Source organism: Homo sapiens, chromosome 1, assembly GCF_000001405.40.
Source record: "Homo sapiens chromosome 1, GRCh38.p14 Primary Assembly".
NCBI classification, from domain to species: Eukaryota; Metazoa; Chordata; class Mammalia; order Primates; family Hominidae; genus Homo; species Homo sapiens.
Genome location: NC_000001.11, coordinates 83,836,878 through 83,851,802, shown reverse-complemented (window position 1 = coordinate 83,851,802; position 14,925 = coordinate 83,836,878). Strand labels below are relative to the sequence as shown.

Sequence of the window (14,925 nt, the reverse complement as noted above, 5' to 3'; positions counted from 1 at the left end):
AGCATCTCTAAATACTCATGTTTATTTGACTTTGGTATTCCTCATAGCCATATCTCTTCCACATATTCTCCTTGGTTTTCTTTGGATAAGGCAAGGGACCTATTTTACATAATTAAGTTTCTGGAAGACAGCAAAGTATTATTGTTATACTGCTTTTAATATATGATGCTAAGGAAGAAATTGGTTTAAAGCCCAGCTACGCTGGAAAGCCCATTTTCCCACATGTTCAAGTTGAGGAAAGGGTTAGGTGACTGGTATGATTAACTTGTATCTACTCGTAAGTAGAATAGAAACTTGCTTTGCCTTATTCTGCATTTTTCAAATTGCCAGGTTTTATTTCTATTATTGTTGTCATGCTTGTCTTCTAGGTAAGTCTTGGGTTGTTTTATGGTATGTTTGGACCTTATCCTAAGAAAACCAGTATATAATGGTAGTGTTTTGGCATGGGGGCTGCTAAAGGTATTGGGCGAGAGCAATCTATATAGTGCAACACATGTATAGGAGCTAGGAGCTGGGGACCTCTCTTCCCACAGTAATACTACCATGCTAAGATTCCAGGGCACTGTTGGGAACTTTCACGTGTTCTGAGCCACTAAAGGGTCAGGGAGAAAGGGTGGATTGTTCACAAATGGTGATTCAGTTGGAGCTTATACCAAGTGGTAAGTAGACTGCAGTGGATAGTAAGTTCTCCCTGGATGGTGATGAAAAGTAAAGCTGATGTAATTTCTCAGCACAAGTCATATGCAGTGGTTCATTGGCTGCTCTCAGAATGGACTTTGGACAATGAGATAGTTCCCTGAGCCACTCTGGTGCTTGATGCTGACATATAGCTTTTGCTCTGGCAAAGGCTGGGCAGTTTCTGGGTATACCATGTTTTTCTTCCAGGCGTGGGTCCCCAGCAAGGGCCTCGCTGACTTCCCACCCTCATCACATTCTCCTCCATTACTGTCTTTTCCCTCTTCCAGTCCTCTTAATCTTTATCTCTGCTGGAGTGCAGTAGCCTGGCTCTCTTTTGGGCTTTCTCATTAGTGTTTATGGCATAAACCTTATGCCCCGAGCTCCTTCAGTGCTCTGCCTTTTTATTCCTTGCTTAATTCTCCAAACCACACTTTTTAAATTAAAAAAACAACAAAACAATTCTTTCTTGCAAAATAACCTAGTTCTTGCAAGTAAAAGCTTTTGCTTTCACACTTTTGTCTCTGCTATCAGTTTCATAAATGTACTTTAAAACTCAGAACTGAGCACTGACTGTTTCATTTTCCTCTCTTTTCATTCTATTTTAACAAGGCTGATCTTTCCTAGACAAAGAAAAGGCCGTTCATTATTGAGTGTTGGGAAACTCATCAAGATTTTATGGGGCTTATGGAGCCACCTGTGCTGGGAGAAGGGGCAGCAGTTAGACAAGCCCATCCTCCCATCATGTAGCGTCACACAGATACATAGTTTCCATGGAGCAAGTGTTGGAAGTAACCAGGCTCCAGCCGCCTTGATAGGACTCGTGTGTGTGTGTGTGTGTGTGTGTGTGTGTGTGTGTGTGTGCGCGCGCGCGCGCGCGCGCGCGCAAGTGCACGTGCAAGTGAGAGAGAGAGAATATGCGGATCACAGGAGGTTAGCCAGAGAGTGCCCACATCAGGGAGTTAGGGGCTGTGAAGTACCCACAAATAGACCCTGCAAAAAATTAACATTTGGATTTACAGATGCCGTGTAAGAGGCCAAGAATAGTCAATAGAGAAATATAAGGAGCACTGTCTAAGTGAAAATATTTTGTCTCTTTCTCTAGAATCTTCTTCCCTTCTGGTCTGACTAGGAAAGCCAGAGGGAGATGGTGAAGGAGACACAGAGAGAGTAAAAGAACAGACCATGCCCAGCCTCTCCACTGCAGGAGCTTGGAATCAGGTGGGGACTGAGCTTGTCTTAGGGAGAGGGGAGAAGCTTTGAATGAGATATGCGATTAGAATGTCAAAATTTACCAGAGCCTTTTACTACCTAGAAATGACTCATAATTACTGAAATGAGACTGCTTTTTGTTGTTGTTGTTGTTGTTTAAAATGACTGGAAAGCTATGGGAGCTGCCTGAAATATCATTAAGGTATATAGGCAAGGGGAATCTGACATATTGAAAGGCAGTGGTAAGAGGGAAATACAGCTGCTTCCTGTTTGTACTCATTATGTTCAGCCCTTTCAATAAACTGGTTACACTTCTATTGATTCTTATGTAGTCATACAGTGACTAACAGCTACCCACACTGCATCTCAATAGCATAAGAGCTAAAGGAAGAAGAATCATAGGTAAAGCTGGAAATATCCAGACTTCCTAGCCTATAGGAGGGATGAATGAGCTGATCCATACATCTCATGGAAGCTGAGAAGGCTGTGAAATACCCACAAATAGACCCTGCAAAAAAGTTAACATTTGGACCTACAGATGGCGTGTAAGAGGCCAGGAATAGTCAATAGAGAACTATAAGGAGCGCTGTCTGTGTGAAAATATTTCATCTCTTTCTCTAGACACTCCTTCCCCACTCCTCCAACTCTAGGAAAGCCAGAGGGAGATGATAAAGGAGATAGAGAGAGAGTGAATGAACAGGCCATGGTTCTTCCATACCTAGAACTCGGAGGTCTTTTTTGCCTTGTTTTTTTCAAGTCCCAGGCTGAATTTGTCAATGTTCTTTTTTAAACCACTTTCTCATCCTGCGTTGTCTGATTTCTTTTGTCAAGATCATCCTCACCACCACCTGGGCTTGACCTTGCCTTTGACACCTCTCTTCGTTATTCCATACACGTTTAACAATCCCTATAAATTCTACCTCTGCTATAGACTTCCAAACACTCCTGGTTGAAGCTTTCATAATTTTCATTTGAACTGTTCACAAATGTTGGAGGGCTCAATGCTAGCGATAAAGCACGGGGATAGACAAGAAATGCTTCTTGTTCTCCTGGCTCTTGTGGTTTAGAGAGGGATGGACTTCTAAGCCATTATAATTCAATGTGATTAGCGTGATAGTGGAGATGTGTTCAAGGTGCTGTGGAAAACTGGTGAAGGGAATAGCTAAATGCTTAGCAGAATGGAGAAGATTCAACAGAGTACGGATGTTTTAACTGATACTTTTAAGGCTGAAATACAGAAAAAAAAAGCAAGAAGGAAAAAATCTACCAGCAGGAAGCCATCAGGCAGAGGGAACACCCTTTGCAAAGGGGCCCAGAGGCAATGAGAACGCCCAGTACTTTCTTACAACTGGAGCTAGAGTGAGGTGGGAAATCACAAGAGATGAGGCTAAAGAGAGATATTTTAACATTTTAGATTATTTCCTTAGGATGGATTCCCAGGAATGAAATGCTAAATGTTATTAATATTTCTGCTGGGAGACAAGAGGAGCACAAAGCATCCCGACGGAGGCTGAATGGGTTTTAGGGAATGTTTAGAGAGTATGCGTGTATGTGTGCATTTGTGCCGGGGGAATGGTAGGTTTTGCCCAGATTTTGACTAACCTAGTATACCATGTACTTTGTTATGCAACATGGAGCCATTAATGGCTTTGAAGTAGGGCAGTGAAGAAATACATTTTATTATAGAAACATGATTCTAGCAGTAATAAGAAAGCAAGGCAGGAAGCTACTGCAATCATCCAGGTGAGAGATAAGAAGGACCAGAGGTAGGGCACTGGGTATGAAATGAAGTGATAAGTTGAATGACAGAGGATTGCAAGTAGCTGGATAATTACAGCTACATAGATTCACAGGCTAGGGTAGAAGGGCTTTGAATCTATGAAGCCAAAACCAGAATCTCCAGGATTCAGGATCTCTTGGATTAGCCAGATTTGGGAACCATGGCACGAATTGGTCTGCTTTCGCCTTCTCTCCTCCTTCATTTTACATCTAGTTATGTATGACTTAGCTTAAGCATGTAGTAACTGTGAACTACTACCAGATACTGTTTGAGCTCCCCTACCAGCTGCTTCTTTGCCCCTGTGCCTTTACCAGGAATGTCTCATTTTCTCCTTTCCTGTTTGCCCAATCCCTACACAACCTTGGAGAAGCACCTTGGTTGAAATCTGTCCTGTAAAGCCTTCCCATGTTCCCCCTCCTTTCTTACCTGACCCCAGCTTCCGTGAATGAGATGATAATCCTCTCAAGCACTGGACCTTCCCTCAAGCTCCAGGGTAATTTACCTATAATTCGCTATGGAACCATCACCCCATATATTGTAATATAGTTATATGTGAATATATCTTATCTCTTTTATCAGGCTGTGAACTCCTTGGGAAAGAGATTGTGTCTAGCATATAGATGATGCTCAGTATAGAATAAATAAGTGAATATCAGTAATCATTTTTACCAACTCATGATTAAAAAATAGTATGAAAAATGGTTTTTCTCCATTTTCTTCAAGACACAACAACTTTAAAAGATACAAAACATAGCCATTTAATTAAGTCATCCAGTTTGATCAGTATATTTAAACAATTGAGGCAATGTCTCCCTTTAATGTCTAAATGTATCAGTGCTATTTGTTCCTTATTTTAATGGAGATTAATTCCCTTTTAAAAGAAAATGATAATCCCCTCAATTGTAAGACTCACAAAAATAACTCCCATAATTCTGTTCTAAATAGAAGGGAGAATCTCAGAAAAAGAAACGATATCAGGTAACTGCAGCCATGTTATTGTGAGTGTTAGAGCTCCCCTCCTGGGAGCCCATATTAGATAGCTTTGCTGTTTTCCAGTAGACATCTTTATCTTTTGCCCTGTATACTAAGTCACTTGCTTAGAATTTACTGGAATGTTAAATTATTTCTAGCAAATTACAAGCAACACGGATGAATGGGCATGTAGTATTTCATTTTTGCCTCATTATGCTTTAGATTTGGGATCTCCAGTTTTGTAAATGATAGCTGCGATATGTCAGTCCATCTTTACACATCCACATGCTTGAATGCATCCTGCTTCTCCTCCCATATGGAACGGTGTCAATCATGACGTACGACTGCTGTTAAGATACATCCTGTGTCTACAGAAAATAACTCATAAGTGCTCGTTATGGAATAATGTATAAGATTGCAGGAAAACCCAAGAGAATTGGTTTAGGCCTTACACACACACACACACACACACACACACACACACACACACAAGCACACACCTTTGGCATGTTTTTAGGTAGGAGATAGAAGGTATTCCCTCTTCTGAAGGATCCAAGTACTCCTCATAGCTCCTGCCACTCCCTGGGTGACTGAAACATTTGTCACCATCTTCCTGAACCTCAGTTTCTTCATTTGTAGATAATTCTTAGAGTTGACAGCATTTTATGAGGAACAACAAATAAAAATGCTTTCAAAGTGCTTTGCAAGCCTACAGTACTCTGTAAATGCTTAATGATAATAATATACAGTAGGGCATCTTCCCTTGAAAACAGCAGGAGTGTTTCCTTCCATAATGACCTGACAGATGGGTTATGGTATCTAATCCCCTTAAACCCCCAAAGCTCTTTGATAGTGGATGTTGTAAAAGGCCAGATTAGAGCACATGCTGCTCTTTTATTGAGCCCTTTCTTTCAGTATCTATGCCATGTTCAATTGCTTCCTTCTGTAAGTACGTTACATGTTAACCTACTACCTGCAGGAACAATTAGGAGCAAAAATAGAGACTAAAGGACAGTGCACTCCAGTAGGAAAAATTAGTTAATGCTTGTTGTCCCCAATATTAAAAATCCACTTTGGCCTTCACATGTGGTTTTTATGGAAGGTTCCTGCCCTCCTAAATCCTGACTATTAATCTCAAGCTGTGGGTATTTGTCGATGGTGAACACAGGCTTTTTTTGTGAGATAGTCCTGTATGTGGTGAGAATGGAGCTTTAGTGATATTAATTCTAAACCAGTGAGGCTTAGGAAAATCACAGGCAGTTTAGGATATTTGTAGCACTTATGTAAGAGTTGGAGCTTTCAATCAGTTCAAAATGAGGAAAGGATGATTAACAGTTAGTCTACTGTAACTTTTACTCAGCCCTGAACCTCGATTGGACCAAGAAGTTTTTTACATTTCCACTTTTTGCTGTACTTTTCTTTTGAGAATAACTATTAAAGTTATCAGTTTCTAAAATCTTTTGTGACAATCCCTTAATGCACATTCATCATCCTTCCCTAGTACAAAGTTTGCTTTCTGTGCGTGCTTGGAGTGTAAGTTGTTGTGCAATCACCCATGGGATGTAATTTGTGTAATCAAGGGAAAGAGAAAGGAAGAGCAGCTGCCAATAATAATTAGTTTCTTAACTGAATATATACCGCAATAAACATTTTAAGCACACCATCTCTTTGAATTTGGGGTGTTTTAAAGAAACAGGCTGGTTGTTCAAGGGCCTCTCAGAAGAGCCCTTTTTTGTACACTGGATTCTCCCCTTCTCACCTTCACAAAGACATCACTTCCACATGTGTGCCCTCTTTTTCCTGCATCTTCATACGTTCCTTCTTTTCTGAATAATCCTCATGGTACAAAAATGCTTAAATATCTCATGGCTTTATAAAAACTTGAGCCAATTTTGCCTCTGCCTTTCCTTCATGCTCCATTTTTTGGAATCTCTTTATAGCAGAACTTCCCCCAAAGAATTATCCCTACTTTCCAGTTTCATGTTTTAGCTTGTTCACGCTGCTATAACAAAATACCACATACTGGGTAATTTGTAAAGAAGAGAAATTCATTTTTTTTTTTTTTTTTACAGTTCTGGAGGCAGAAGGCTAAGATCAAGGCACCAGCAAGTTTGGTGTCTCGTGAGGGCTGCTGTCTGCTTCCAAGATGGCGCCTTGTTGTTGCATCCTTGGGAGGGGATGGGGAGAAAAAAACAAAAAGAGGCCTAGGCTGGTTGCCCCTAGCCCTTTTATAAGGCACTAATCCATTCATGATGAGGGGAAAGCCCTCATGACTTAATCATCTCGCAAAAGTAACACATTTTAATACCATTACAATGGGGATTAGGTTTCTACATGAATTCTGGAGGGGACATATTCAAACCATAGCACTCCACTTTCTACTTTCCCTTTTCCTATTCTCTGTCTCCCTCTCTCCCCTGCCCCATCTCGGTCACTGGGGTTTGTATGCATGTATACATATATGCAAAATATCTAAGTATTTTGACCGGTGTTAAACACTGACCATGGATTCTCCTGGAACCTTTATTCAACTCAGTTTATTCTTTTGTAAATCACAGTCACCATTCATTCCATAAATTGCCAGTGTACAATTCAATGAATGTGGACAATGTGAACACACATATAACACAACTCACTCAAGATTTAGAGAGTCCCTTGTGCTCCTTTGTAGGCAATCTCCAACCCCATGGCAATTACTGTTCTGATTTTTAACACCTAGATTTGTTCTGCCTTTTTCTGGACTTTATATAAATGGAATAATAAACTATATGGGGATTTTTGCTCAACATTAATGTTTTTTAAGATTTATCCAGTTGTTGCTTATATCAATAATTCATTCTTTTTGTTATTGCTAAATAGCAACCTATTGTATGACTATTCCACAGTTGTTTTTTGTTTTTAATCTATTCTCCTGTTGATAGACATTCAGTTTTTTCCCTGTTTTGGCTACTATGAATAAGGCTGCTATGAACCTTCTTGTTGGCATATGATTTTATTTCTTTTGGGTAACTATTTAGAAGAGGAATTTCTAGGTAACAGGATAGACACATGTTTATAAGAAACTGCCAGTTTTCGAAAGTGGTTGTACCATTATTATACTCCCGCCAGCAGTGTTTAAGTTCTAGCTGCTGCACATTGTCACCAGCATATGGTGGCAGTATTTTAGTTTGGGCCATTCCAGTGTTTGCGTGACATGCCAACCAGATTAAAACACAAAATACGGAAGTGTATTTTACATGTTAAGAACTGATGTTGTATATCAATAGAAAAGAAAAAAAAAAACAGAATTCCTCAATTGTTTTTGCTTCTGTTAACTGTCAAGGAAACTAATCTTCAAACCACATAGACTAGAACTGAAATTATACAAGGAAAATAGAGCCCAGGATGACAGAGATTCTGAGAAGACCTAGACAGTTGAAATGATGTTGGGTCTCCTAGCACAGATGTCTTATACTCTGGAGACTACTCTTCCCATGAACAGGGGACATGCTAGGAATCCAGAGAGAGACTGGCAAAATAGGAGCTACGGAAACTAAACAGAATACATGAGAGCTTACCAGAAATCTACTCCCACATGTGGAGAAATCAGATGGACATTGAAGGCCCCCCAATACAAAGGAGATAGCAAATTCTAATTCCATTCAGACTCTGGTGGTGCCAAGAGGCCCTGTGAATTGGTAGAGCAGGGCATGGCAACAGTATGTAACTGATAGGTCATATTACTGCATAAAGTTAGTAACAGGAATATTACAAGCAAAATTTAATCTCTGGTTGGCAATAAAAAGAAGAGTTCACTACCTCTAGCAGCAGGGATTCATGCCAGGGCTTAGTTCCAGTGAAAAATTATATGCCTAGATTATTTATCACTCAGGTTAAAAGAAATTAGATGCAAGGGTAGTCAGGTGTATACTAGCACATATTCCAACATATATGGTCAGTGTTAGAATAAGGGGCTAAAGGTAAGAGCTCCTTTAGATATTCAGGACACAAAATTTGTTACAGATCACAGGATGTGGGAGCTATGAACTCACTGGTTGGCAGGGATAGGACTCCACTATTATTGCCCCAGGGTCTATTCAAGACTGATCCTTCCCATAACTGGATACCGTTTTGCCACATCTTAGGCAGAGAACTTCTTGAGAAATCATAGAGGAATCAAAAGACTGAGATAAATGCCAGTTTGATTTTTCAAAAATGGAAAAAGTACGTTTATTGAACCAAAGATTCATTCATTGTAACATTTATTGAGTGCCCTCGGGGTGCCAGGCACTGTTGCAGGACTCTCAGGACACAAGACAATTATGGTTCCCTGCTGTCATGGAGTTTTCAATATACTAAACTCAAAGGTAAACTCTGGAAATTGATGTCAATTCCAGGCAAAATTGTAGGATAGCCATTGAATGACTGGATGGATTTACTGAAAACAAGACATATTAATCTATTTTTTTCTTTGCCAAAGCTATTTTACAGGAAGATCTTAGAACTATATTATTTTTATTTTTACTTTTGCCAGCTGTATCATGATAAGCTTGAATTGAAGAAATACAAAGGCTGTATGGAGGTAAAATTTGGTAGTGTAATAACAAGTTGAACAACAATATCCAAGCATTTCTGATTAATTAATCAGTATTAATCTGGTTGCATATCAGATAATAAACATATTGCTATCTTCAAACATGTTCTGTGTAACATTCTGTCAATAGTTTGCTTGAAAATATGAAAGGTGTGATTTTCAAATTTGCTGATGAGACTGGGATGAATATCAAATATTTGACGCATGGAAACATCAAGAGATGAATTGGCAGAACTATCCCCCACATTTCATTAGCTTCCATCAGAAATTTTCTCAGTCTTGTTAATATGTTTGGCAAATGCTTCTTTAAGAACCTGTCTCCAGGTAGATTGCTGCCCACTGTCAAAGACCCTCATGGGTAGAAATTCTGCAGTCACTTTGATTTAGAGGACAAAATTAGTAGTATAGATAAAGATTGACAGACAGGAAGGATAAGCAGAACCTAAGTAAACAAGTTTTTTGAGTTGACTGTAAGGTCATGTGTGTGAGTCCAAATTAAAATTGAACAAGCTATAACAATACAGAATTAGAGAAAGGGGACTTGGGCAGGGGACTAGCTTGGTAATAATGCTTGTTTAACAAAAATAATTGAGAGACCTTTGTTAATGGGCCATGTGAGATATAGCCACCCACAAGCTATGTGATCTTAGCTTGCAAAAGAGAAATTATAATATTTGAACTGATCACAGATCACTTGAAATATCTAAGAGTAATAGAGTGAAATTGAAGAGCATTAGAGAAGGGTAACCTGGAAGGTAAAAAGACTTAAAATCTTGGCATAATGGGAAAGATTGGAAAAGCTTGGAATAACTGGCCTGGAGGTGTCTTGAAAATGAAGTATGTAATGGGACAGAATAGTTGCTTTCAAATTTCTGAACGCTGCTGGGAGAAGAAGGAAGAGTCATTATTCATTTTAGTCCCAAGAATTAAAATATGTACTAATGGGTGTTAATCTACAGTTTAGTATCTTTTGGGGTCAATAGAAGGAAGAAATTTCTAATATTCAGAATAGTTGTAAGGTAGAATGGGCTGTATCACAGTGACTTGGGGAGGTTGTATAAATGTATAGATCCCTAAGCCCACCGCAGAATTCCTTGCAGCACTGGAAATCTGGGAGTTGTATTGTTTGACGTTCTTAGGTGATTCTGATATGAAATCAAGTTTGGAAACTATCAGGTCAAGCAATCTTTTTCAGACATGATGTGTAATAGAATACCAGTAATCGATGGGGAGGTCGAGATGGAGTAAGACTGTATGACCTATAAAAGCTCTTCATTCCAAAACTCATAAAGTGACATTTGTTTTTGTGAATTTGCCTTGGGTCAGACTCTGCCCCTCACCCTTGGAGCCTTAAGAATTTAAATTTGTCTTTGCCCCAAATGTAACCAGACTTTGGACTCTTGAGTCCCATTAAAACACTCATGGGAATGTGTGGTGGCCATTTGGGTTCTGGCTGTCAAACATCTCTTCTTCCTTCCCGCCAGCACTGATTTTTTTGAGAGGAGGAAATAGCTGTGTCTTATTTTGTGTTGTCTTGGTGGCACAGTGAATTCTGGTACCTGCTCTTCTACTACAGATGAAGAGGCTCCTCCTTCCATATACTTTCATTACTCTGTTAGGTCCGGGAGCATTTATGTGAATAAGCTTGGCCAAGCGGATATTCTCTTCTGGGATTTAGATTTTGTGCATATGGCACAATGAAAGGTGAGATGTATGGAAGTCAAGCAGCCTAGAGGCTGTTCCCTGTCCAGGTTGCTCCAGCTCTAAGACAACTTTAGTATTTCCAGCTTCTGGTCTCTGGAGTTGCTTTGGTTCCTGCCTGTTTCTAGGACTGGACTCTCTAGTCTTGCAACTATTTGTTCCTCTAATAGCTTCTCCTTTGATTACATTAGTCAAAGTTAATTTTAATCACTTTTTTCCAGAGAGCCATAAGTGATATAAAACTTATTCATAAAACCTGAAATTTTAATTTATTAATTTACAAAAATACTGAACACGTACTGGACAGGTGAAGTTTCTTCCTATAGAAAAGTTCCATAAGAAGCTAAATATTAGAATATTTCTTGATAAGAATAAAATCAGAACAAGGAAATTTATATATGATTCAGATGTTTAATTGTGGGACCTTACAGTTGCTGTGTTGTCCTTACTGTATAACCTGTCAAAATTATTATATGCATGTTGGCCTGGCAGGGTATCCTGTCTTCCAACAATGTTTGATGAACACCACCTGTGCATTCCTTCTGTGACTCTTCTCTTTCTTTGTTTTGAAATGATTGATCCAATTTAGATGTGCTAATTAATTCTTTCAGTCAGGTTACTGACAATCTATACAAGCCTCAAATCCCATTCGTTTAAGTAAACTATGTATTCATTCCTCTGCTTTGAGAAGAGTAAATTTATTCCATCCTGAGTACTCCCAAAGTGTCCTTGACTCTTCTTTGTATTTCCCCACCTGTACCCAAACTTCCCAGTCACCTAAGCGCAGGGATTTTGTCTTCATTTTGGCATGAAATAGCAACTAACTCAGCACCTTTGACCACCATATAATCTTTACTGCCTTAGCTCACAGCTGACGCTTTTGTTGTTGAACACAGGATTTTCTCTGGATGCATCCAGTTGGCATTTGACTTTTAATTGGAATATACGTAGGACAAAATTAAAAGCTGGCTGCCCTATAAAGGTTTATGAAATCTATGTGTCATTATTCAGGGATATTCCTAGACAGAATGTTAAAATTCACCAGTATTTAGAATGATGTGTTGTACTGGACATGATGCAATTCATAGCTGGAATTGTAACATCTTTAGAGTAAAGCTGAGTCAGATTGATTTTTTGTTTCCCTTGCATGGTGTTTGCTTGGAAGTCCAGATATGCTAGATTTAGTTTCACTAATGACTTTTCCACATTACCTAATTGGTCTGTAATTGGCCTGCTGTTTATTAGAGAATGTACAATATGAGACAGTCTCAAGTAGTAGATATTGATATAAGACTATCATACTTACAGACTCTGCTCTCCTCACACAACAGAGAATGGATTCTCAATTTTACGAAGTCTGTTAGAGAATTAGAATATGAAGAGTCCACTTACAAATAATCGATCTTGTAGATATAGAGGGTTTAGCCATATGTTTAAGTCAATGTCCATTTAATATCTATTTGAGATGCTACGACTATAAAGTTTAGTTTTTAGCAGTGTAAAATATTCAGGCAGGTCAACACATGGATATTGATTTAATTAGATAAAATATTCACTTTAAGGGAAAACAATAGGAGATACTCGTGACAGTCTATTAAATCACAACTATCTCAACACCTTTGACCACCATATAATGTTATTACAGTATATTCAAGAGAGAGCTGGGTTAGAAGTTTGTTGTCATCCCTTATTAGTTGTGTGATCTTGGGCAAGCTGCTTAACCTTTTGTAGCCTCATTTTTGTTACCTATAGAATGAGAATAAAAATAATATTGCTATTATATTTTTATACCAGTAGAATGGCAGTGATATTGTCTTAAGAAAGATTCTGAAACTGCTTCTTTGATTAGCAAGCATTTTTGCTGCGCCATCTAACATCCCCTCTAGTAAGGTGTTTACTGGATGTAACAGGATGTTGAATTGAACCGTTTCTTTGTCTCAGATTTGCAAATAAATCTTTCGAAATGAAGACAGTAATCCTTCTCTTCTGAAGAGAACCTCCAAAAATCCTTGCAGGACCTACTTAAGAGGTGGCAGAACTATCCCTGCTATTATCCTCTCCATTTACATAAGGAAGTCAAGGGGAATAATTAGGGAAGTTATTCGCTTAGTGGACAGCACATTCTTGGGACGCCTACCTGCCCCCACACACCAGATCAAGTGAGAGGAGAGCTAAGACAGCCTTTTACATGTGTAAGGGTGGCTAATAAAAGGATAGACTGGCTTCTTCTGTACAGGTAGATATCTGCATATGAAGCAGACTTGCTGATTTGAGTAAGGGAAACAGGAATTGGCATGAAATGGAAGGAAGAGCGGGGATGGAAATATCGCCAGTGGCCATAGCACTGTTTAGCCTAGCAGGGTTCTATGAATTTCTTTTGGATCTCTAGGCCACTGTGGGAGCCAGCCAGGCTTGAACCATCTGGCCAGGATGCTGCCCCAGTGCTGTCTGAAGGGACATCAACAGCAGGGAGGCTGTGGGGATTCTTGTCAGGGGCAGATAAAGAGAAGGTTGGGAGAAATCATGTCAGAGGGCACCTCCCTTGACAAGAAAGTATGCAGCCGGGACCAAGCCTTGTGGTGCTTAGATTATTTAGTATTTCATTACACTTGCTTTCTTCTGGGATCCTTATCTGCAGCCACAACAGGATCATGATATTGGTGAAAAGCAATAATCTTTGGCTTAGCGAAATCAATGGATTCCTAATTCCCCAAAACCCTTCCTATCAAGTAAAGAAGTATCCTATGGTCTCTCATCAAGTCCTTTGGCTCAGCAGCTTTCCACATATCTCACCTTGCATTTCTGCTCTGTCACTTTCAGCAAAAGCCATGCTGCTCCCAGGTATGTGTGGTATTATCTGTTGCTACTTCCAAGTGGCTTAGTTCCAGTTGTTCTTCAGTCTTGCTCCAGCGGTCTCCACATGGAAGTGGGAAAATGCTCTCTTTTCTCTCTTGCTTTCTTCCTTTTTCATCTCTAGTAGATTGACTCTTCCCTAAGACTTAATATTTTTTATAAGCATTTTCCTTTGAAGGTAATCTGAGTGTCACCAAACTGAGAGGTACTCAAAGTCATTGTCTCCTGTAATTGCCCCTCCGCCAACTGCGTCCCTGGGTTAAGTGTTTGACCTCACCTTCTTAGGATGGCCTGTTTCCCTCATCAGACCATCAGCATCATCTCCATCTTGTACAGTGTCCACCCAGTTACCGTGCTTGGAGCATGTGGGAGGCCTTCCTCCTGGACATTTTAGGGATCTTAGCCCTGGCAGTCAGATGTCAGTTTCAGCAGTTCGAAAGCTTTTCTGAATCCTTGAGTCTTCTTGCAAATAAGACCTGGCTGACTTTTCCTGCCTCTGGGACAAGTGAAGCCCATCAGCTTTTGCAGTGTATATTCAGTTTAAAACTTGGTATTGGCACCCACTCATAGAGCAAATAATTCTTGCAGGTGATGCTAATGGGGGAAAAGATCTGAAGAAGAAGGGGTGTGTTCATAGCATTTCAAAAAAATTCTCTCAGTTTCTTTTCTCTGATGAATCGTATCTTCATAATCCAGCTTTACCATGTTGGCAAATCTCAAGGCTTTGCTTTCTAACTGCTTTCAGAAATGCCGATGGCTACAGGTTATTGCTAACAACCATACACGTTATTTTGCAACATAATGGATAGCTACAGAGTTTAATAAAAGGGAAAGGGCCAAGCAAAAATTTTTGACAAGAATAGCGAAATGGAGCATTTAACAGGATTTGTTTTCAAGCTGTTATTTGAGAGATTTAAATAAATCCTCTTAAGTACTACAATTTTTGAGCCCTAAATGTGCTTTAGTTAGTTTTAAGTATTTTTTGTTTGTTTTTGTTTTTTGTTTTTTGTTTTTTTGTTTTTTTAAACTGGATAAATAGGAATGTAAGGAAAAACCCTCCCAGTTGCTGGGTGTGATGAAATCTTCCCTCTCAGGTTCATGGAAGATTGTGCCATGAAATCTGTGAAAGATGCTTCCACATTAATTATACTACTTAAAA

General features: G+C 39.4%; 2 long non-coding RNA genes across 2 annotated transcripts in view; both read left to right on the top strand.

The window, feature by feature from the left end:
• The window catches only part of LINC01725 (long intergenic non-protein coding RNA 1725), a 285,210-nt gene that overhangs the window by 9,194 nt on the left and 261,091 nt on the right, over positions 1-14,925 (top strand). The gene's annotated exons all lie outside the window — the stretch shown is intronic.
• Positions 1-14,925, top strand: part of LOC101927560 (uncharacterized) — a 59,031-nt gene that overhangs the window by 8,744 nt on the left and 35,362 nt on the right. Inside the window, exon 2 of the long non-coding RNA NR_119374.1 lies at positions 1,781-1,896. This is a non-coding gene — a long non-coding RNA (uncharacterized LOC101927560). The remainder of the gene's footprint in view (positions 1-1,780; positions 1,897-14,925) is intronic.